A 24,211-nucleotide genomic window follows, 5' to 3' on the forward strand; every position below is an offset into this window, starting at 1 on the left:
ACACTGATTTTCACATTGAAATTTCCTATCTTTTTAAATTTATTTTGGTTGAGACAGTCGCCCAGGCTATTGCCCAGCCTGGAGTGCAGTGGCATGATCGTAGTTTATGGCAGCCTCAGCCTCCTTGGGCTCAAGCGATCCTTCAGCCTCAGCCTCCCAAGTAGCTGTGACCACACACGTGTGCCACCACGTCTGGCTTTTTTTTTTTTTTTAGAGACAGCATCTCTCTCCTTGTTGCACAGGCTGGAGTGCAGTGGTGCGATCACATTTCACTGCAGCCTCCAACTCCCTGGCTCAAGTGATCCTCCCACCTCAGCCTCCTGTGTAACTGGGACTACAAATGCACACCTTATGTCCAGCTAATTTTTTTATTGTTACTAGAGACAAGGTCTCAGTATGTTGACCAGGCTGGTCTCAAACCCCTGAGTTCAAGTGATCCTACTGACTTAGCCTCCCAAAGTGCAGGTATTACAAGCATGAGCCACCACACCCAGCCTATTTTTATTTTATTTTTGTAGGCACAGGATCTCGCTGTTTGCCCAGGCTGATCTCAAACTCAGGCTCAAAAATCATCCTCCTGCCTCAGCCTCCCAAAGTGCTGGGATGACAGGTGTGAGCCATTGTGCCCGGTCTCATACCATTTTTGTATCATGAAACTTTATTATTCTTTGCATTTCTTTCCCTCAAGAATTTAAACATGTAAGAAGCAAACCAACACCTTTTAAAACCTAAACATAATTCTTAGCTTGTGGATACAGTTTTGGAAGCAATTTAAATTCTAGAAATCCTGCAGTAACTGCCTATTTGATACGTTCTCAGAGTTCCTGCCTTTCCAGTTAAACACAAATAAAATAGGAGTCCGGTGACCTCGAACACCCCAGGGTAAGAACGCACAAGCTAAAAGCCAGTTGGAGCCTGAATGTGAAAAGGCAATCATTCCTTCTGCATCAAAACATCTGCACCCACGGGTCCACCCGTCAGCCAAAAGCCACCTCAGCAATGCTACCAAAACAGGGAAAAGAAAGGCTACCCTCTTTCTTTCATGCAAGCCCTCTAAGATAACGCACAACCTACTAGCTCACGTAAATTAGGGCACAAAGAACCCAACTGAAATCCTGGCAGAACAAGCACAACTTCTGCTTAATCGTGAACTCATTTATTTATTTATTTAGAGACAGGGTCTCACTCTTTTGCCCAGGCTGCACGACAGTGATGCAATCTCAGCTCACTGCAGCCTCGACTTTCCGGGCTCCAGCGATCCTCCCACCTCAGTCTCCCAAGTAGCTGTGATCACACATGCGTGCCACCATGTTTGGCTAATTTTTATTATTATTATTATTATTTTTAGAGGCAGCATCTCTTGCTTTATTTTCCAGGCTGGAGTGCAGTGGTATGTTCACAGCTCACTGCAGCCTCCAACTCCCAAGCTCAAGTGATCCTCCCACCTTCGCCTCCTGAGTAGCTGGGACTGACTACAGACATGCGCCTCCATGCCTGGCTAATTTTTTGTATTTTTAGTAGGGATGAGGTTTGGCCATGTTGCCCAGGCTGGTCTCAAACTCCTGGGCTCAAGCGATCCGCCTGCCTCGGCCTCCCAAAGTGCTGGGATCACAGGCATGAGAGCCACTGCACCTGGCCATGCAGCTGTTTTAATCAGCAATTCTGAGAAGACACAAATGCCCCCCGGTTCTTTTGTGATAATATTAACACAGATTACTGAATTCCAGTGACAAAAACCTCACGTGTGTTACCTAAAGAAACACAGAGCCCAGAGTGTGCGATCTGAGCTGTTTCTCAAACCAGGACAAATAAGTGGATTCCAATTGGTGCCTCGAGAAAAAAAAGGGAAAAAGTGGCAAAAAAAAAAAAAAAAAAAAGTAGTTTCAACAAAGTCCAGCGGTTATTTTTGGAAGGCCCACTCACCAAGAACAGTGTTTACATTCGTACATTTTTTTTCTGAATTTCTTAATGGTTGGGGGAAAAAAAGAAGTCAACAGAGCAATAATATTTCTTGACACAACATTTATATAAAATTTAGTGCCCACGAAGTGGGAGTGGAATACACGGAGTCTCGCTCTTGTCGCCCAGGATGGAGCGCAGTGGCACGATCTTAGCTCACTACAACCTCCGCCTCCCTGGTTCACGCGATTCTCCTGCCTCAGCCTCAGTACCTGGGATTACAGGTGCCCACCACCATGCCCAGCTAATGTTTGTATTTTTAGTAGAGATGGGGTTTCACCATGTTGGCCAGGCTGGTCTTGAACTCCTGACCTCAGGCGATCCACCCGCCTCGGCCTCCCAAAGTGCTGGGATGACAGATGTGAGCCACCACACCCAGCAATGGATGCTTTTAGACACAACGGCAAAACTAAGTTGTTGAGAGACAGAGAATGCATGGTCCGCGGAGCCAAAAATATTTCCTCTCTGACCCCTTAAAGTTGACACCATCAGGGTACTCATGCCAAGGACCTCCCGCATCTGACTGCAACACAAAAGGACAGGCAGCCGCAGCTAGGAAGGAGCCTGGCTGCAAAGCCCTGAAACCCGAAAGCTTCCCAGAAGTTGCTCAGAAAGGAACTCATGCAGTTTGAGAAAATCTGGAAGAAACGAGCCAAACCCTGCTGTTTTCGTCGTCTGAAGAAATGAGCAAAACACTGCCGTTTTGCTGCAGACGGTCCTGTGAGAGTTTGCATTCTCTGTTCACCAGGCAGGGGCATGGCGAGTTCATTTTATAAAACTCTCAGGTGAGCCCCACGATTTGACGGAGCAGAAATCACTGGGAAAGGACGGGGCGGCGGGCCTGAGATCACAGAGGGGAAAACAGTAGAACTGCTGCCCAAGCACATCTGAGACTCGCAGAAGGCGCAGGAAGATGGTCGGAACAAAAGCAGGAGCTGGCTGCGCCAGGAACCCGGTCTCTGGGCCTCCTCTGCACTCACGAGCAAATGAACGTCACCACCGAGATTTCGGCACCCCAGAAACAGCCCAACCGGCTCCTTCCCACCAGCTGCCTCTTTACTAAAACATCCGAAACCTTTTTCTCACTTTCCCCAAGCTGTTTTCCTCACCCTTCAGAGGCCTGCTGGGAAAACAGTTCGAAGCAGGCAATTCTGCAAAGTGGGGGGGAAACAAAAACAACCAGCTCAGAGTTAGGGCTGTGCAGCCAGATGCAAGCGTGAAAACAAAACCGAACCGAAAAATCCCACCACTGTGCGGAAGGAGTGCCACACAGGCTGGGATGAGAACCGTCGGGGTTAGGGAAATGTCTCTGTAAGAAACCCTCAAGGACTAGAATTACTCCTAATGGGAAAAACGTGTAAACATGTCCCACTTAAATGAACATCACGATGCAAATGCTTAGTTATGAGGACTGAAAATGAACCCCTTTCAACCCAAAACGTGCAAGAAAGAGAAATTTCGGCATTTTAATGATGCCCAAGGACAGGCAGTCAACCAACAGCACTTGGAAAGGGCAAGTCTGGGCAGAGGTGCACATCCCGGCCTTCCTGTGTTTCTTGGGGGCCATTGTTTTCTCAGGAGGGAGGAAAAGAGGGAGGGAGGAAGGAAAAAGGGATGGAAGGAAAACGAAAGAGGAAGGGAGGGAGGGAGAAAAGGGAGGGAGGGACAGAGGGAGGGAGGAAAGGAAGGAAGGAGGAAGGGAGGGAGACAGGGAGGGACAGAGGGAAGGAAGGAGGGAGGGAGGAGAGGGAAGGAGGGAGGGAGGGATGGGGGAAGGAGGGAGGGGAGGAAAGGGAGGCAGAGAGGGAGGGGAGGGAGGGAACGGAGAGAAGGAAGGGAGAAAAGGGAGAGAAGGGAGGGAAGGAAGGGAGAGAAGGAAGGAAGGGAGAAAAGGGAGAGAAGGGAGAGAAGGAAGGAAGGGAGAGAAGGAAGGAAGGGAGAGAAGGAAGGAAGGGAGAGAAAGAAAGAAGGGAAGGGAGGGAAGGAAGGGAGAGAAGAAGAGACAAGGATGGGAGGGAAGGAAGGAAGGAAAGAAGGAAGAAAGGAAGGATTTGTTGGCTGAAGAAGAGAGGGAGGGTTGGACGGAAGGAGGAGGGAAGGAAGAGACCATGTGAGAGGAGGTGAGGAAGACAGGAAGAGAGGGGTGATAAGGAGGCTGGGGGGAGAGGGAAGGCGCTGATGCCATCCGGATCCATCCAGGCTGCCTCGTCCATGGGGCCTCCGTTTATACAACTATCCACTAAGTGAAGGAACCGGCAAAAATCTCTGCTCCCGGGGAACACTTTCACCAGCTGCCGGCTTTATTCACTCAGAAATTTTGATGCCAAAACACCCGAAAGTACATCATAACTTGAGGATTTACAGACAAGAAAGAGGAGCACAGAACTGACCGTGGGTGCCCTGGAAAAAGTTGCTTTCAACAAGGACCACAACAAAAATAAAAATAATAATAATGATAAACCTCCCTCCACTCCCAGGATCAAGGGGTTCAGACAAACTGCAGTCCAGACGGACACGCGGCAGACAAATGAATGAGGAGCTAATGCATTGCTCTGGTTTATTGAACAACAGTCCAACTTTACAGCATTAAATAAGGGGCAACCGTTCAGGAGGGGAACGATGGCTTAAAAATAAAAATGAAGACAGAGCCGGGACAGTTCACATTTCCACGTGAGTGAGGAAAAGCGAAGGATTGTTAGAGACGTGAAGAGAACGCTGGCAATGCTACAGAATGGAGCCCACGGAGGCGTGGGCTGCCCTGCGTCCCCGGCCTCGGGGCAGAACAGGGAGCAACCCCAAAGCCTGCCCCACTGTGTCCCTTCCAGCTGCCCTTCTGCCGAGAACACCCGGAGCTGAGGGTTCCAAGTTCACGGCGGAACCGCTTCCCTTAAAAAGAAAGCAAAGGTTACGTGGATTTCTCCCGTGCTTCCTTTTCCACAGACTTAAACCGGCTCAGGACGTAAGGATAACATTCTGTGCTGCTTGCAGCCCTGAGAAGTCAGCAGCCGTGAAAGGCAGGTAGTTCCTTTGCCCTCTGACACCCCGAGTTCTTGGGGTCTCGGCAGAACACTGCCTGGAGCTGAGTGGGGTCATCCCTCCTAGACACCGTTCTCCCCAGCCCAGCTTGTCTTCACGGAGGCAGAGAACCCGCTGCACGTAGAATCCAAGCAATATGCTAAGCCTCCTGAAGTATTTTTCCTCCAGTTAAAAAGCAGTTCTACATGTTGGAAAACGTCTTTCTGTTTCCCTGAATGACTGAAAGCAACTCGCAGGAATCCAGCCACGGAAAACCCCTCCGGGGGCAATATTTTAAAATTCATTTCCCCTATGGTATTCAGTTTAAAAGAGAAGAATCAAGAGTCCTTTCCGGTAATCAAATCAAAAACACCTTATGTGGAAAAGCTGGCCGCACGGGGGAACTGGACTTTTAGGGCTGAGACACCGAAGACATAACCTCCGGACCCGTGAGCCACCCACTTTTGTTTTGTTTTGAGACGGAGTCTCACTCTGGCCTCCAGGCTGGAGTGCAGTGGCGTAGTCTTGGCTCACTGCAACCTCCACCTCCTGGGCTCAAGCGAATCTTCCGCCTCAGCCTCCCGAGTAGCTGGGATTACAGGCGGGTGCCACCGCATCTGGCTAGTTTCTTGTATTTTTAGTAGACACGAGGTTTCACCATGTTGGTTGGCCAGGCTGGTCTCGAACTCCTGACCTCAGCGTGAGCCACCACGCCCGGCCACCGCCCAGTTTTAAGGACCAACTCCGCAAAGTGAAATTTCGGCAGGCAGCAGGAAGCAGGCTCTCTGGCAGCAACCTGTCGAAAATACAACACATTCCACACTTTTTTTTCTGTTTGCTTTTTGTTAAGTGTCTGCATTTTTGTACTCATCTGTCACATTTTTAACCGAACATTAAAAAAAAAGGTCTCTCTTTTTAAGAAGGGCATTTTGGCTAAAAGGTCTCTTCCCCATTTCTCAGAAGCAAGAGGTCCCTGCTTGCACGAGAATGTAAACATGAATTCAGTGATCTGGACCTCGCAGAAGTCACACATGATGATCGGGAAAGGCTCCTTCGACGCCACCCAGAATGTTCCTGCGTTTCTTCTAAACCCTCCCAGGGAGAACTCGAATCAGACATGGTGGAGGTCTTAAGTATCTGTGAAGGAAGGAACAGCTCCTCTAGGCTCTGCTGCACGCAATTCCCAAGCAGAAGCGTTGGCAGTTCCCAAGCAGAAGTCGTCCGGGCCCCGGGAATAGGGGAGGAAAGGAAACCCACTCAAAGCCACCTCTCTTGTGTCTTCTTTTTTCTTTTTGAGAGAGTCTCGCTCTTGTCGCCCAGGCTGGAGTGCAGCGATCTCAGCTTACTGCAACCTCCACCTCCCAGGTTCAAGCGATTCTCTGGCCTCAGCCTCCAGAAGCTGGGATTACAGGCACATGCCATCAGTCCTGGCTAATTTTTGTATTTTTAGTAGAGACGGGGTTTCGCCATGTTGGCCAGGCTGGTCTCGATCTCCTGACCTCAGCTGATCTGCCCACCTCGGCCTCCCAAAGTGCTGCGATTATAGACAGGAGCCACCGCCCCCGACCCTCTCTCACTTCTCAAATCTCTTTCCTTTTTCCACCTTCTAGGTGTCAAAGACAGTGGATGGTCTCTGAGGTTCAAAACCAAGCTGACCGGGTAAGTATTTACAGCAAAGCATCCAATGGGCTGCTGCGGGGATGACTTGTAAGACAACACGCTTCCTCGCTACAGGAAGCTGCTGTCCCTAATGCCAAAGAAACCGCCGCTGACGCCATCCCCCAAGGAGAACACCTGCTCCTGGTCCAGGCCCCACTCCCCCTCGTCCTGGTCCTCGGGTTCCGCCTCTGCCCCACTCCGGGCGTTCTCATACAGAAACACCTGCTCGTCCACGTGCGCGGGAGCCAGCCGGTTCCTCTTGGCGCTGACCACGTTGGCGGCGGATCCGAAGAGACGCTCAGGGGCGACGCGCGTGGCCGTCACGCACCAGTACTTCTGCAGCACCTTGGGCAGCAGGGGGAAGAGGGCCAGGCGGTCTGACCACCACTTGAGGGGGTCTTCGTTGAGGCCAAGCACCTTCTGGGACTTGAAGTTGCTCAGCTCCTCCACCACCTGGGCATGCCACTCTTCCTGGTCCTCCACGCCGCCTGTCTGGCAGAAGATCTCGGCCAGCATGTTGTTGATGACGCTGGCGGGCGGCGGCGTGGATGTCCGCATGAGCTTCTTGACGGGAGGCTCCTCGGGCACCGGGAAGATCTTGTCCTCAGCCGGCCGGTAGCCGCCGTCTTTGACCTTGTCCAGCAGGCCCTTGGCCTCTTCCACCACGCGATTCTCCACCTGCTGCCGCTCGAAGGCGGAGAGGAAGGGCAGCCTCTTGTAGCGGGGGTCCAGGAAGGTGGCCACGTTGAGAAACATGTCGATCTCGGGCGTCTCCTGGTAGGTCTTGGAAAGCTCCTTGGCGATGACCTCCTTGGCCATGCTGAGCTCCTTGGAGTCGGTCTCCTTGATGTTGAGCGTGGTGTTCAGGAGCATGTGCAGCAGCGGCTTCACCATGCTGATGGTGGGGTACCTGGAGGCCGACAGCATCTCGGCCACCTGCTTGAAGGGCTGCAGGAGCTCCACCAGCCCCTCGATGGTGGCCCACTCGCTGGCCTCCAGCATGAGGTGGTGGTTGTTGCTGTCCTCCACCAAGACCCCGGCGATGACGAACTGCTGCTCCTTGAGGCGCTGCAGCATGGCCAGCGTGCTCCCCCACCAGGAGACGCGGTTGCTCACCAGCATGCAGTGGGCCACGTTCTGCTGCTTCTGCTTCTCATAGAGCATGTACATGGCCACGGCAGACTGCTGGAAGTACTCCACCAGTTTGCGGCAGCGCGACAGCAGCGCCCCCAGCTTCGGGAGCTGGAAGGCCTGCTGGATGCCGGCATTGAAGGTGTGGCCCAGGCAGGGCATGTGCACTGCGACGTCCAGCAGGGAGCACGCCTTCACGATGTCCTTGCCATAGTTGGTGGTGGCCCCGAAGACCTTGGCGCTGATGCCCCACTCGATGAAGACCTCATAGAGCACTCGCGTGATGGTCTCCGCCGTGTTCTCTTCGGGCACCTCGAAGGTCTTCAGGCAGCGGGAGCCCATGGACAGGCAGTTGGGGGCGCCCAGGCCCAGGAAGTGGGCGGCCAGCGTGACGTAGGCGCGGTTCTGATTCTCACTCCTCCACATGTCGGTGGAGATGCCACACCAGGTGGCCTCGGCCAGCTCCTTCAGGATCACCTCCCGGACGGCCCCGTACTTCTCAGGGATGGCCTTGGTAGAGATGTACTTCCGGCTGGGCAGCTCATACCGGGGGTCGGCCGTCTTCAGCAGCACCTTGAAGGTGGGCTCGTCCACGATGGAGGCTGGGTACAGCCCCTCGCAGATGAGGCCCAGCACGGCGGCCGTCAGCTCCTGCTGCTTCTTGCTGTCGTAGCCGTGGCCGGCCTTGACGGCCAGCGCGTCCTGCCCGGGCTGCTGGGACGACTCGGGCTTCAGCTTGGAGAAGGCGGTGGCGAAGGCTTCACGCATCTGCTCCGTGTTGCTCTTGACGAACTCGCAGAATTCCTCGGGGTGGTTCTTCTCCAGGTGGTAGGACAGGTTGGAGGTGTTTCCGGAGTAGGCGATCTGGGCCATGCAGATGCGGCAGTAGATTTTCTTCCACTGCAGGATGCATCCCTCGGCGTTGGTGTCGAAGCCGAAATACTTCCACACCTTGCTCTTGGCGCGGGGGTGGGCCACCAGCTTCAGGTCTGTCTGGGAGCTCTCCAGGCTTTTATTCTCCATTGCTTCTCCACCGGAGCCTGCCTGCTGGACGGCTGCTCATGCGTGGGGACCTGCTGAGAAGGGCCAAGACAAACACAGCATGAGAAGGGACCCAGGCACGCACGGGAGCCCTGCCGGGGAGACAGACAGGGTGCCGGGGCAGCTCCGCTTTCAACCAAAGGGCACTGGGGCCGGACGGCTGGACCTTCCTTGCGGGTCACTTTTGCAGAGTGGAGGAGGGAACCTAGCGCAGGAATACGCTCTTTCTTCCACGTTAATCCGACTGCAGCGATGCCGCACGTGTCAACATACAGGTTTGCGAGTGAGCACGGCATTTTTGCAGGGCTGTACCTGACAAGTGCCTTTAGTTTTTTTTTTTTTTTTTTTTTGAGACAGAGTTTCGCTCTGTCACCCAGGCTGCAGTGCAATGGCGTGATCTCAGCTCACTGCAACCTCCGCCTCCCGGGTTCAAGCGATCTTCCTGCCTCAGCTTCCTCAGTAGCTGGGATCACAGGCACCTGCCATCACGCCTGGCTAATTTTTGTATTTTTAGTAGAGACAGGGTTTCACCATGTTGGTCAGGCTGGTCTCGAACTCCTGACTTCAGGTGATCCACCCGCCTTGGCCTCCCAAAGTGCTGGGATGACAGGCGTGAGTCACCGCGCCCAGCCTGACAATGCCTCTGTCATCGCAGGGGCTTGTTGTTCCTGTCCTAAGAGTTTCCCAAGCACCTGCCACGTGGGAAAGCTGCGTAGATCTTTTCTGGGGATGAAGCCTACATAGAAGAATCCACAAGTGGCCAGGCAGACCCCCCACTGCCAACCATCACAGCAGGACTCTCTGAATGCCACCTGAGCTTCATTCACTGCATTAAAGAAGCCAAACAGGACCTCCATCTGACTAAAGCCAGCTTTCCTATGGCTAAGAGGCACTGCACACTCTTCTCAAACTTTATGGTTTAAAATGAAGCCATGTGGAACGTCACAGGTGCATCCGTGATCTGTAAGCACGTCTGAAGAAGCATGGATTTCTCAATCCCTGGAACTTCTCAAAATGCCCATTGTGTCCAGTCACACCTGTGGGCAGAAAGGCCCAACTGGGCAAATATCACACACCTGTGCAAACATCAGGCAGTCGGTGTGGAGGCTTAGATGACCCAGAAGCCAGTCCCCAGGGTTCCTGTTGAGGTTGAATGCTCACACATACAGGCCCTTCCAGCTGCCACTCAGGAGGCCACCTCTGTGACTGGGTTGCCCAAAATGACAGCTGGGCTTTGTTAAAAGGTGTAATTGTGTCTCCAAGTGTCCAGTACAGTGCTCAGGAGGGTAAATATCAAAATGCACCACCCAGGCACGTTCAGAGTGTTGGGATACAGTCAGTGCAAGGAGGCATATTTCAATGATGACTATAGTGGGTTGAAAAGCGTCCTCCCCTACCAAAGAAAATCTGTATCCACCTGGTACTTGTGTATGGGACCTTGTTTGGAAAAAGGGTCTTTGCAGATGTATTAATAATGAAGGTAAGGATCTTTAGATGAGATTATTCTCAATTGAGGTGGTCCTAAATGCAGTGACCAGTGTCCTTAATAGAAGACAGATGAGGAGACACGGACACACAGGAGAAGACCACATGGAGACAGAGGCCGAGACTGGAGTGATGCGGCCACAAACCCAGAACGCCTGGAGCCCCCAGGAGCTGGGAGAGGCAGGAAGGATCCTCCTCTAGAGCCTCCACAATGAACTGGATAAAATCATGGTGGATTGAACAGTGGCCCGCAGAAAGATCTGTCCACAGCCTAAAGCCCAGGATGTGGAATGAGATCTTACTTGGTTATTAGAAATTTTGTAGATCTCATGAGTTAAGGATCTGGAGATGAGATCATCCGGGATTTGAGTGAGCCCTAAATGCAGTGACAGATGTCCTTATAAAAGACAGAAGAGGAGACACAGACACAGAGAAGGCCACATGGAGACAGAGGCAGAGACTAGAGTGATGATGTGGCTGGCCTGAAGCCCAGGGACGCCAGGAGCCCCCAGGAGCTGGGAGAGGCAGGAAGCACCCTCCGCGTAAGCCTCCGGAGGGAGCGCAGCCCTGAGACACTTTGATTACAGACTTCTGGCCTCCAGAACTGGGAGAGAATAAGCTATGGTTTTAAGCCCTCCGGTTTCTGGTACTTTATTAAAGCAAGGTATTCTGAAGGTTAATTTTGCCCGAAATAATGAGTGGAGGTCTTAGAAAGGCCCCCCGTCTTCACGGGCAGTCGCGGCCTGCGTTGCTGGCTTTCCGTCAACGGTGCCCGCCCAGTGCTTTTTAGGGAGACGCCGCCACGTGCCAGGTGAGCTGGGCATTGCCAGAGCCCAGCAGTGCCACTTCCCAAGACTGGGGTGCAAGGAGGGGGGTCCTGTGGCCAATGCCAGCACCCTGGTTTGTTCTAAGGTGCTGAGAGAATGAATAACATGACCGGGACTTCCACAAAACGAGGAACCCCCAAACTGCATCTTCTGCAGCCGAGTTAGGGTGGGGCCCCTGGATTACACAGTCAACGGAGGGGGAAAAGAATCTCAAGAGGCCTCCTAAGTCCGACCTGAGTGACAGGACACAGCTGTATCAGATCCTCCATCATCATCATCATCATATTATTATTTGGCTGAAACAGGTTTTGGTAATTGGGAGGAAAAGGTTTACATTCCATTATTATTATTTGTGCTATTGGGCTGAAAGAGGTCCCAGTCCTCAAACAAAAGTTTAAATTCTATTTATTATTATTATTATCATTATTATTATTATTATGTGGCTGAAAGCGGTTCTGGAACCTGAAGGAAAGGTTTCAATTCCATTATTATTATTATTTTTATTATTATGAAGATTAGGCTGGAAGAGGTCCCAGTACCAGTAACAAAGGTTTATATTCTAATTATTATTGTTACGGTTGTTATTATTATTAGGCTGAAAAAGGTCTCAGTACCTGTAGCAAAGATTTTTATGCTGGCACCAGGCACAGCGGCTCACGCCTGTACTCTCAGCACTTTGGGAGGCCAAGGTGGGTGGATCATCTGAGGTCAGGAGTTTGAGACCACCCTGGACAACATGGTGAAACCCCTCCTCTACTAAAAATACAAAATTAGCCGGGCGTGGTAGTGGCACATGCCTGTAGTCCCAGCTACTCGGGAGGCTGAGGCACGAGAATCGTTTGAACCCGGGAAGCAGAGGTTGCAGTGAGCCGAGATGGCGCCATTGCACTGTAGCCTGGGCAACAAGCGCAAAACTCCGTCTCAAAGAAAGAAGAAAACAAAAAAAAAGATATATATGCTATTATTACTATTGTTTTTAGGCTGGAAGAGGTCCCGATACCTGGAAGAAAAGTTTGTACTCGGTTATTATTATCTGTCTGAAAGAGGTCCTGAAAGCTGGAGCAAACATCCATATTCTATTATTATTATTATTATTGTGATTGTTTGACTGAAAGAAGTCCCAGTGCCTGGGGCCAAGGTTTATATTCTATTATCATTGCTGTTATTATTATTTGGCTGAAACAGGTCCTGGTACCTGTAGCAAAGGCTTATATTATTACATTATTATTATTATTAGGCTGGAAGAGGTCTCGACACCTGGAACAAAAATTTTCATTCTATCATTATTATTATTATTAGGCTGAAAGAGGTTCTAGAACCTGGAGCAAAGGTTTTTATTCTATTATTATTACTTTTGTTATTAGGCTGAAAGAGGTCCCAGTAACAGAACAAAAGTTTATATTCTATTTTATTACTATTTGGCTGAGAAAGGTGCCAGGACCTGTAGTAAAGGTTTATATTCTATGATTATTATTAGGCTGAAAGAAGTCCGGGTACCTGGAACAAAAGTTTATATTTTATTATTATTATTTAGCTGAAAAAGGTTCTGGCACTTCAGTCAAAGGTTTATGTTCTATTATTATCATTATTATTATTATTTGGCTCACAGGTGTCCCAGTACCTGGACCAAAGGTCTGTTTTCTATTAATACTATTCTTATTATTACTATTTGGCTGAAAAAAGGTTCTGGTACCTAGAGCCAAGTTTTATATTCCACTATTATTATTTGGTTGAAAGAGGTCCCAGTACCTAGAAGAAAAGTTTATATTCTATTATCATTATAATTATTATTACTGTCATTATTGTTGGTCTGAAAGAGGTCCTGGTACTGTGAACAAAGGTTTATATTCTATTATTATTCTTATTTGGCTGAAAGAGCTCCCAGGACCTGGAGCAAAGGTTTATATTCTATCATTATTATCATTATTACTACTGTTATTATTATTACTGGGCTGAAAGAGGTCACAGTACCCTGAACAAAGGTTTATATTCTATTGTCATTATTATTATTATTGTTATTATTTGGCTGAAAGACGTTCCAGGAGATGAAGCAAAGGTTTATATTCTATCATTATTATCATTATTACTATTATTATTATTATTACTGGGCTGAAAGAAGTCACAGTACCCTGAACAAAGGTTTATATTCTATTATCATTAATATTATTATTATTATTTGGCTGAAAGACGTTCCAGGACGTGAAGCAAAGGTTTATATTTTATCATTATTATCATTATTCCTATTGTTGTTATTATTATTGGGCTGAAAGACGCCCCAGTACCATGAACAAAGGTTTATATTCTATTATTATTAATATTATTGTTATTATTTAGGTGAACAAAGGTTTCTATTCTATTATGATGATCATCATTTGGCTGAAACAGGTCTAGTACCTGGAGTGAAGTTTTGTACTAAGAGCCAAAATTCCCAAACCCCTAACCAAGTGACTCCTGGAAGGAGAAACAAGAAGCTCCCTCCCACGTCTCCTGCTGTCAGAATTCCATGGGATTCCCAGGTAAAGAACCGTCCACACAGTAGGTGGGTTCCACCTGAACCCACGTAACAGCCACAGCAGAGCTGACCTTCTGCAGTGAGTACCCTCCTTCCTCCTTCCTCCTCCCTTGCAGCGCTTCCGAGCACACAAGGCCACGAATAAAGGTTGCTGTAAACCAGCCTCTCACTGCCTCATTCTTCAAGACTGGTGCAGCATCCCCAGTGCGGGGGGAGGGGGGTTTGGGGGGGACACTCCCCAAAACGCTCTCAGGGGGCCGGCGATTTCACGTTTCCAATTGCACATCCATGAGAGGCCAGTGGATGTGCCTCACATGACTCTTACCAGAACGACACGTCGCAAGAGACCAGTGTGAAGAAGCAGAGGAAGGAGCCAGCCGCCATCCGTCCCTTTATGGATGAGACTGACAAAACCCTAAAACTCAGCCACTCTTCTCCCTAGGTTTTTGTTATTTTGGAAATGACAATCATTTTTCTTTTAAAAAACATACAGCACATGGCCAAAGGGTACCAAGTTTCTGTTCGACAGGAGGAATCCGTTTCAGTGACCTACTGCACAGCGTGGTGGCGATAGTTAATAGTGTATTACATATTTCAAAATAGCTAAAAGAGGTTTTTATTTTTGTTTTTGTTTTTTTGTTTTTTTGGTTTTTTTGAGACGGAGTCTCGCCCTGTTGCCCAGGCTTGAGTGCAGTGGCGCAATCTTGGCTGACTGCAACCTCCACCTCCCAGGTTCACACCATTCTCCTGCCTCAGCCTCCCAAGTAGCTGGGACTACAGGCGCACACTGCCACACCCAGCTAATTTTTTGTATTTTAGTAGAGATGGGGTTCCACTGTATTGCCCAGACTGGTCTCAAACTCCTGAGCTCAGGCAATCCACCCGCCTCAGCCTCCCAAAGTGCTGGGATTATAGGCATGAGCCACCGCACCCGGCCCGCCAATAGAGATTTTAAATGTCTTGCGTGCAGTGTATACTGCTTGGGTGATGGGTGCACCAGAATCTCACAAATCACCACTAAAAAACTTACTCATGGAATCAAACACCACCTGTTCCCCAATAACCTATGGAAATAAAAAACAAAAATAGCTAAAAGAGATTTTAAATGTTCCCACCGCAAAGGAAAAATAGCGGGTGATAGATATTAGTTTAATTATTCCACAATGCAAACATACAGCAAAGCATCACACTGTGCCCCATAAGTGTACACATTTATATATTTATATAAAAATATCAATTGTTTTTATTTACATCTAAATTATATAAATATAACTTATTTGTATTTTATATTTATAGAAAAGTATAAATTATTCTAAAAATATATATATTTAATAAAAATAAAATATAAAAACAATAAATATATTACATACATTTTTGTATGTAACATGTAATTGGCCTGTTACCATTACTTTTAAATAGATTGTTAAATATGTTTTAAATTTCTGTTTTAATGTCTAACAGGATGACTTATTGACTGTTATAATCCACAAAAACAAAAACTGTCTGGGGTCCTCATTTTTTTTGAAAGAGATTCTATGATCAAGGAATTGGAGGCCGGGGGCAGGGGCTCACCCCTGTAATCCCAGCAATTTGGGATGCCAAGGTGGACTATCACCTGAGGTCAGGAGTTTGAGACCAGCCTGACCAACATGGAGAAACCCCATCTCACTAAAAATACAAAATGAGCCAGGCATGGTGGCACATGCCTGTAATCCCAGCTACTCGGGAGGCTGAGGCAGGAGAATCGCTTGAACCCGGGAGGCAGAGGTTGTGGTGAGCTGAGATCACGCCATTGCACTCCAGCCTGGGAAACAAAAGCGAAACTTGGTCTCAAGAAAAAGAAGAAGAAGTTGGAAAACTGCTGTTTTTACTTCTACCTGATTTCTAATAGCCACTGTTCACTACTCATAAAACCAACAAGAATTAACTTTCCCTTTACAGGTTAAAAAAAAAATAGTTTGAAAAGTAGGACTTCTATAAATAGCTTTGTAAGTGGGCCAGTTGGCATATTTTTTGTAAATACTCACTCCTGTGGTACAGCATTTACGAATCCATTTTGCATCCCAGAAAGTGAAGGAATATTCTGTGGCCTATTATTTACAATAGAACTTTTAAGAAAAATTCTGTGGCAGTATTGGAACTGGACTTGACTACAGGTACCATCAATTTTCTCTCCTTTGCAAAACTCATTGATGTATCAGAGAAAATGTAATTTCTAAACAGATCACCCTGTTATTAATACCGGTGGGTAGAGACTTTCTTTACTCAATATGATCATTTTCAACAGATTTCAGGCCATATCAATGTTCAAGTTTTGATGCCATATTAGGATATTAAATGCACTGATTAAATCATCTATTTTAAAATCCAACCAACAGATACAACTTACTGAATGGGCCGCATGGATATAGTCTTAAGAACACAGAGACAGACCCTCTTATGGGAATTCTCAATTTGCTTCTAAACCCCCTCTGTAAAGGCATGACCAACATCTATGATTAATTTGTAATTATCTTGTTTTTCCATGATGAACTGTAAGAAGACACCATTTAGGAGTGGATTCCAGCCACAATTTCTTCCTTCTCATACCATGTAAGTCAACTCATGTGGAAGGTGTAACCCAGGCATTTCCTTTGTACGATACCTAAGAAGAACACGCTCCATTTGGAAGTTCTAAGAAAAAACTGCCCTTGCTTCCAATCTGCAGTGGGGAAATTGGCCCTCTTGGTTATTCAAACAGCTTAGCTCAAATGCCCTGGACAAAGTTCAATGTTTCCTCACCAACAGCGAAGGCCTACCAGAGAGAAGCAAATAAAAAATGCCGTTTAGGAAGCTGGCCACCAGCAGACCAAGGACAACAGCATTCCTCCACTGGTATCGAAAATTATTTTTAATCCATACATAGGAAGGGGCTCGATGAGGGCAAGCCACTTAAGTTAATCTTTAGAGAAGGCCATTCTGTTTCGATACACACCCGGGTACAGATTCCCTTGGCAGACACGTGACTTCACCAGAAGCTCGTCCTCTTTAACAACCTTCTGTTGTTGTTTAATCAGTAAATGGGAAAAAAAAAAAAAAAAAAGATTCCAGCCCTTTTTCTAATGCACAAAGAGCAAGTTTTTCAAAGGCCAGCATTTTGGTGAGCTGCTGCAGGAACCCCGGCCTCTTCTGCCAGGGCCCACACAGGCCCTTAAGGAGGTTTAAGGGGACCTTTCTGTAAGCAAAACTGCCCGGATAAACATAATCTTCTGCGAGACTCCACACAATTGTTCAGCAGCTGTAAACCGTTCACCTTGCAACTGATTACTTACTTCAAACAAACATGCTCTCCTGCCCTCCGAAAGCCTGACTACAGTTCCCTTTACTCTCCTTCTTCTATGCATTTGTAATTATGCTAAGTGGGTTTAAAAAAAAATACTGAAGGCCAGTTTGGCAGAAAAAGAAAAGCTTAGCTCACAGAAAACTCAAAGCTCTTTTTCTCTGGCTAGAGGCGGGAGAGAGAGGCTCATTTTAAAACATCCACTCCAGGCACGCTTCTCAAAGGGTGGCGCTGGGACCCCTGGGATTCCTTCAGTGGGTGCAGAGTGGAAGTCAAAAGTCATTTCACAATAAGGCACCCAAGCGCTTCGCCTGGCTGACTCCCAGTCTCCCAGAGGCGTGCAGTAGTGTCTTCCAGAGGCCTCCTGACATGCCATGAAACTGTCTACAGAGGCAGAAATAACAGCTCTCTTCTTAGGCTGGACATTTAAGACATTCAGGGCAACGTACACCCCCACCCCCACCACACTGACCCTCTGAACGCTCTGTTTTGGAAAACTGTTATTTTTGAAACAAAGTATCATTTAACCTAACATGGAATTAACATTCCCTTTATTCCAGTTCACAAATAATTGTTTACAGGTTTCTAGGTTTAAATTGAGAATATGGGCTGGGCACAGTGGCGCTCTGTCTGTAATCCCAGCAGTTTGGGAGGCCCAGACTGGAGGATTGCTGCAGGCCAGGGGTTCAAGACCAGCCTGGGCAACATGGTGAGATGCCATCTCTACAAAAAATTTAAAACATTAGCCAGGCGTGGTGGCTCACGCCTGTAAACCCAGCACTTTGGGGGACCCAGGTAGGAGGATTGCTTCGGCCCATGAGTTTCAGACCAGCCTGGGCAACGTAGCAAGACCCTATTGCTACACAAAAAAATTAAAACATTAGACAGGTGTGGTGGCTCACACCTGTAATCCCAACAGTTTGGGAGGCAAAGGAAGGAAGATCGCTTGAGCCCAGGAGTTCGAGACCAGCCTGAGCAACATAGCAAGACCCCGTCTACAAAACTTTAAAACATTAGTCGGATGCAGTAGCTGGTGCCTGTAATGCCAGCACTTTGGGAGGCTGAGGCAGGAGGACTGCTTGAGCCCAGGAGTTCGAGAGTAGCCTCGGCAACAGAGCAAGACTTCATCTCTACTTCCTATTACAAAAAATAATAATAATAATAAATTCTGAACCTGCAAATCTAGGAACAGAAGTTATCTGCATACACAAAACACAGTGGCGGTCATCACTGATGAGTTCAGACAGTGAACGAGTCCTGCAAAGTTGGAGATCTGTGACTCAGAGATGTTTACAAAGGCCAAGGAAACAAAGTTGCCACTTAACGGGCCTGCCCTCCCCACCAGACCTCCGTGGCTCCCCAGTGCCCGAGAAGCCGCCTCTGGGCCCCCTCTGGAGACGTCCTCCGGAGAAGGGCCCATCCTCACTTACCCTGGGGTGGGTAGGGGTCGAGGTCCCTGGGACGCCCGCTCCTCCCCTCCGGGGCCTGGCGGGGGCGCGCGGTCACTGGCCGACCGCAGGCGGCAGGCAGAGCCGCCTGATGTCTTGGGCGCGGGGCGTGCGAGCCCCCGGGTCCCCGGCCATGGCCCGGAGGTGTCAGGGTGCGCGGGGGGGCGGCTGCACGGGGGCTGCTTGGTTGGAGCCCGACCCGGGACAGGCGGGGAGGCCACACGCGCGGGGAGGGAAGGGTCGGGCCGGGTCGGGCCGGGCCAGGCGCGCAGAAGAGCCGGCGGGGACGGAAAGCGCGGGGCGGGGAGGTCCCAGCGCGCACGCCGCCCCCCCCCCACCCCCGGCCACACCTCGACCCCCGCCCAGCCCCACTTCCGGGAGCGCCACCGCCTCGCCAAGGTCACGCGGAGCCCCCGCGCCCCCGCCCCCGAGCCAGCCCGCGCCCACCCGGGTCCCCGGAGCCCTGACCCCTGCCCCGCCCCGCTGACCTGGCTCCAGGAAGCCCCCGCGGCAGCGCCGCAGCAGCTGCGCCAGGATCACCGCGGCGCCTACCGCGTAGACCCGCAGGGCCGCCCGCGCCGCAGACAATGGCGACATGGCTGCCCCGGCCGCGCCGCCGCCGCTTCCGCGCCGCCCGCGGGACTCTGCGCCCGCCCGCCCGGACGGACGGCGGAAACGCGCGCGCCCCGGACCGCCCCCTGCCCGCCCCGAACCGCCCCGGCCTGCGGGGAACCCCCAACCCCAGACCCCGCCCGGGCCCTCTGGGATCCCGCACCGCCTGCAGGACTGGGGACCCCGAGCGGACAACCGACCCCAGCCAGGACACCCCCCCCAGGACCACAGACTCCAGCCAGGAACCCCCCCCTGCAAGGACCATAGACTTCAGCCAGGACCCCCCCCCCCAGGACCACAGACCCCAGCCAGGACGCCCCCAGGACCACTGACCCCAGTCAGGACCCCCCCTTCAGGACCACAGACCCCAGCAGGGACCCCCCACACACACCCCCAGCCAGGACCACAGACCCCAGCCAGGAATCCCCCCCAGGACCACAGACCCCAGCAGGGACCCTCCACACCTCCTCCAGGACCACAGACCCCAGCAGGGACCCTTCCCCCTCCCGGCAGGACTGCAGACCCCAGCAGGGATCCCCACCACCACAAGACCAACAGCCCCAGCCAGGACGCCCCCAGGACTACAGACCCCAGCCAGCACCCAAGTCAGATCCATAGACTCCTCCCAAGAACACCCCCCAGGACCCCAGACCCCTGCTGGGACCCCCAAGACCACAGGCCCCCCCACTGGGGCACGCCCAGACACCCCACCAAGAACCCCACCAGGACTACAGACCTCCACCAGGACTCCCCAGTACCACAGATCCTCCCAGGGCCCCCCAGGACCACAGACCTCCACTGGGACCCCCACCACCAGGACCCCTCTCCAGGATCACAGACCCCTACTGGGGCCCCCTTCTAGGACCTCCACCTCCATCACAACCACCCCCCGGACCACAGGCCCCAGCCAGCACCCCACAAGACCACAGACCCCTGCCAGGACGCCCCCCAGGACTACAGACCCCAGCTGGACTGCCTCTCCAAGACCCCACACTCCAGCCAAGACCATGGAACCCCATTCAAGCCCCAGCCAGGACCCCCACCATGGGATCACAGATCCCCTACCCAGACCCTGCAGGGGACCAGGACCACCACGGGAACCACCCTCCCCATCTTAGCCAGAATCATGTAACCCCACGCAGACCTCAGCAGGGACCACAAGGACTTGGACCCCATAGGGAACCCCAGACAACCACCCAGAGCCATGCCAGGATTATGGACCAGGACTCCCACAGAGGACTCTGAACAGCTGTAAGGACCATGGACCCCACACCCTAATTCGTACTGACACCACAGAACCTGCCCCAAGCACGGACCCCACACCCCAGTTCCTGCTGACACCACAGAACCTGCCCCAAGCACGGACCCCACACCCCAGTTCCTACTGAGACCACAGACCCCACCCCAATTCCTGCCAGGCCACAGACACCACCCACCAAACCTACCCCTCCACTTCCCTGCCCCCAACAACCCTGCAGGGATCACAGACCCCCTTCCCGGCCCCTGCAGAGAACTCCAGACTACTTCAGGGACCACGAGCCCCCTCCCCACCCTGATCCCTACTGGGACAGCAGACCCCTACTCAGACCTTGGTTGGGAACCCCAGACAACCACAGAGTTACCTGGGCTCCCTCAGGGAACCCCAGACCAGCACAGAACCCCCACCCAGACCCTTACCAGGGCCAAGGCTGAAATCCCACATGGACCCCCCAGCAGACTCCTACTGGAATTCTTCATGGAACCCCCCACCCAGACACTCAGACCTTCACCCCACCACAACCCTCCCAGTCCCACACCTGGTCCCCCAGGGGACCCCAGACCTGGCATCCGGGACTCCACACAGATCCTAACACCCGCTGTGTTTGGGAGACAGGAGCCTGGGAGAGCTGGGGTGACACCATTTTAATCATCAACTCCATCTTAAAAACCAGGAAGACACATTCCTTGCCGGTCACGGCCCATGGTCATAAGATGTTTACGGCTGAAGAAATGACTTAATAATGCCTCCAAGGACAAACACAGACGACAGCGGAATGTCTGGATGTCGCCATATCGCGTAACCACATATGCTGTTAAAGATAATTACAGTCATGCATGGACGTGCTTGGGCGCGAAAATGCAAAGGATGGCTCTCTCTAAATCAACTAAGGAATAAATGTCACGCCGTCAGACATAACCTAGCTTTTACATAGATAAGACAGACCCCTATAGAAGGAAGCTTTAAAACAAACACAAGGTGTTACACCTCTATGACAAAACAGTTTCTTTTTTTTTCTTTCTTTCTTTTTCTTTTTTTTTTTTTTTGAGACAGAGTCTGGCTCTGTGGCCTAGGCTGGAGTGCAGTGGCGCAACCTCAGCTCACTGCAACCTCCACCTCCCAGATTCAAGAGAGTCTCCTCTCTCAGCCTCCCTGGTAGCTGGGATTACAGGCATGCACCAGCACACCCAAATAATTTTCGTATTTTTAATAGAGATGGGATTTCACCATGTTGGCCTGGCTGGTCTCAAACTCCTGACCTCAGGTAATCTGCCCACCTCGGCCGCCCAAAGTGCTGGGATTACAGGTATGAGCCACCACACCCAGCATGTAATGGAATAGTTTCTAATAAACTAAAACTTCCCTGTACTCTTATGACTTACCTTGAATTACTTCTTGAGCAATATCCAAGAACCCACTCTTGGGGGCTAGATCGGGACCCCTCTCCTGCAACACTGGGACCCTAAATCACCAACCCTATCATCCCCAGGACCCAGACCTCCACCTTCACTCTAGGTCTGCACCCTCATACACGTGCCGATGGGCACCCCCCAGCCCCTGCCGAGGTCCAGGAGTGAGAATCTCCACCAGCAAGTCACCTGACCCTAGCCAGGAACTCTATCCCTGCTGGGAGCCAGAACCCCACACTCCACATCTCACTGGGACCCTGGCACCTTGCAGGGCCACAACCTATCTGGAACTTTGGCCCCCATTGGGATGCATCCCCACTCCCATAGGAATTGAACCCTCCAGGCCTCACTCCCCACAGAACCTCAACAGGCACTAAGGGGCACCCCCAGTGTGCAGGTTGCACCCAGCCACTGGGTGGGCTCTGGTGCAGATCTAAGATGATTGGAATACAGAGACCTACCCGGCGACCTCAGGTGTGGCCAGGTGACCAAGCTGGGTTAAGAAGGGTCTTTGTGGCCTTTGCAACCCTCTGTCCTACAGATGAGGAAACTGAGGCCAGGAAGACCAAGGGATGGGGCTGTCCCATTTGGCCAAGTGTGCCAGGTATCTTCACATGTGCCCAAGTATGCTCAGGTGTCGCCAGGTATGCTCAGGTGTGATTCAGTAACCAGGTTGGATTAAGAAGGCTCCTTGTGGGCCAGGTGCAGCGCCTCACGCGCACAATCCCAGCACTTTGGGAGGCTGAGAAGGGTGGATTGCTTGAGCCCAGGCGTTCGAGACCTGCCTGGGCAACATAACAAAACCTGTCTTTATTATTTTTATATAAAAAAATTAAATTAAAAAAGAGGGCTTCTCCAGGCACAGTGACTCACGCCTGTAATCCCAGCACTTTGGGGGGCCAAGGCGGGCAGATCACCTGAGGTCGGGAGTTCGAGACCAGCCTGGCCAACATGGAGAAACTCTGTCTCTACTAAAAATACAAAATTAGCTGGAAATAATGGCGCATGCCTGTAATCCCAGCTACTCAGGAGGCTGAGGCAGGAGAATTGCTTGAACCCAGGAGGCGGAGGTTGCAGTGAGCCGAGATTGCTCCATTGCACTCTAGCCTGGGCAACAAGAGGGAAACTCCATCTCAAAAAAAAAAAAAGGTTATTCCAGCCTTTGCAACCTTCTGTCCTACAGATGAGAAAACTGAAGCTTTCTCGTTTGGCCATGTGTCCAGATATCCTGAGGCGTGCCCAGGTATCCTCAGGTGTGACCAGGTATGCCTAGGTGTGGCCAGGGCACCCAGCCAGAAGCATTGGGAAAATCCACAGTCACCCCTGTCCCCACCTTAAAGTTTTCCCAGGAGAGCTGCCGTTGCATGGGGTGTGAAACCGTGACCCCACTGCCAAATTCAGAAGGACCAAGGATTCCACCAGGAGCAGCAGGGGAGTGGGCTTATTGTAGCCCGACATGCTCCTCCCTTTGGGGACTTCTGGTAGTTATCTAAAAGGATGTTTGTGAGCAAAAGGATAGTGACGTCTAGAGCCATGAATTGGGGGGCTAAAAGCAGAATGCATCACCTGGTGCTTCCAGCAATGGTTTGGGAGACACCCCTACCTTCCCCACAACCCACTTATCTTCTCAGAGGCTCATTTCATCATCTGTCATATATTGACTTTGATTTCCATGTGAATGTTTTTAGCCACTGCTGTAATAAATGGCCACGAATGTAGCAGCTTTAAACAACACAAAGTTATTATCTCAAGTCTGCAGGTAAGATGTCCCAAAAACGGGCTCAACCGGGTCACTTGCTCAAGGTCACTGATATGGTTTCGCTGTGTCCCCTCCCAAATCTCATCTTGAATTGTAGCTCCCATAATTCTCATGTGTTGTGGGAGGGACCCAGTGGGAGATAACTGAGTCATGGGGGCGGTTTCTCGCACACTGTTCTCATGGCAGTGAATAAGTCTCATGAGATCTGATGGGGTTTTTTTTTATTTGTTATTTTTGTTTTGTTTTGTTTTGTTTTGAGACAGAGTTTCACTCTTGTTGCCCAGGCTGGAGTGCAATGGCAGGATCTCGGCTCACTGCAACCTCTGCCCCCCGGTTCAAGAGATTCTCCTGCATCAGCCTTGCGAGTAGCTGGGATTACAGGCTTGTGCCACCATGCCTGGCTAATTTTTTGTATTTTTAGTAGAGATGGGGTTTCACCATGTTGGCCAGGCTGGTCTCGAACTCCTGACCTCAGCTGATCCACCCACCTTGGCCTCCCAAAGTGCTAGGATTACAGGCGTGAGCCACCGTGCCCAGCAATCTGATGGTTTTATAAGGGGAAATCCCTTTCGCTTGGCTCTCTCTGTCTTGTCTGCAGCCATATAAAACGTGCTTTTCACCTTCTGCCATGATCGTGAGGCCTCCCCAGTCACATGGAGCTGTGAGTCCATTAAAGGTCTTTTTTTTTTCTGAGATGGAGTTTTCGCTCTTGTTGCCAAGGCTGGAGTGCAATAGCATGATCTCAGCTCACTGCAGCCTCTACCTCCCAGGTTCAAG

General features: G+C 50.8%; 2 protein-coding genes across 4 annotated transcripts in view; both read right to left on the bottom strand.

Annotated features, from left to right (window-relative positions):
* Window positions 1-19,044, bottom strand: part of DHRSX (dehydrogenase/reductase X-linked) — a 281,471-nt gene extending 262,427 nt beyond the window's left edge. Inside the window, exon 1 of the mRNA NM_145177.3 lies at window positions 18,885-19,044. Within this exon, the coding sequence (NP_660160.2) occupies window positions 18,885-18,993 (109 nt within the window). The 5' untranslated portion in view covers window positions 18,994-19,044. The remainder of the gene's footprint in view (window positions 1-18,884) is intronic.
* On the bottom strand, window positions 4,503-19,044 carry ZBED1 (zinc finger BED-type containing 1). 3 transcript variants are annotated; one of them, NM_004729.4, is made up of 2 exons: window positions 18,885-19,044; window positions 4,503-8,837 (listed from the first exon to the last, which is right to left on the bottom strand). In NM_004729.4, the coding sequence occupies exon 2, from the start codon at window positions 8,785-8,787 to the stop codon at window positions 6,703-6,705; it is 2,085 nt and encodes a 694-aa protein (NP_004720.1). In that variant the 5' UTR covers window positions 8,788-8,837; window positions 18,885-19,044; the 3' UTR covers window positions 4,503-6,702. The 3 variants fall into 3 exon arrangements, with proteins under 3 accessions (NP_004720.1, NP_001164607.1, NP_001164606.1); NM_001171136.2 differs by having other exon boundaries at window positions 4,503-8,840; NM_001171135.2 differs by lacking the exon at window positions 18,885-19,044 and adding an exon at window positions 18,379-18,693 and having other exon boundaries at window positions 4,503-8,840.

The sequence above is a fragment of the Homo sapiens genome, chromosome X, assembly GCF_000001405.40.
Source record: "Homo sapiens chromosome X, GRCh38.p14 Primary Assembly".
Lineage (NCBI taxonomy): Eukaryota > Metazoa > Chordata > Mammalia > Primates > Hominidae > Homo > Homo sapiens.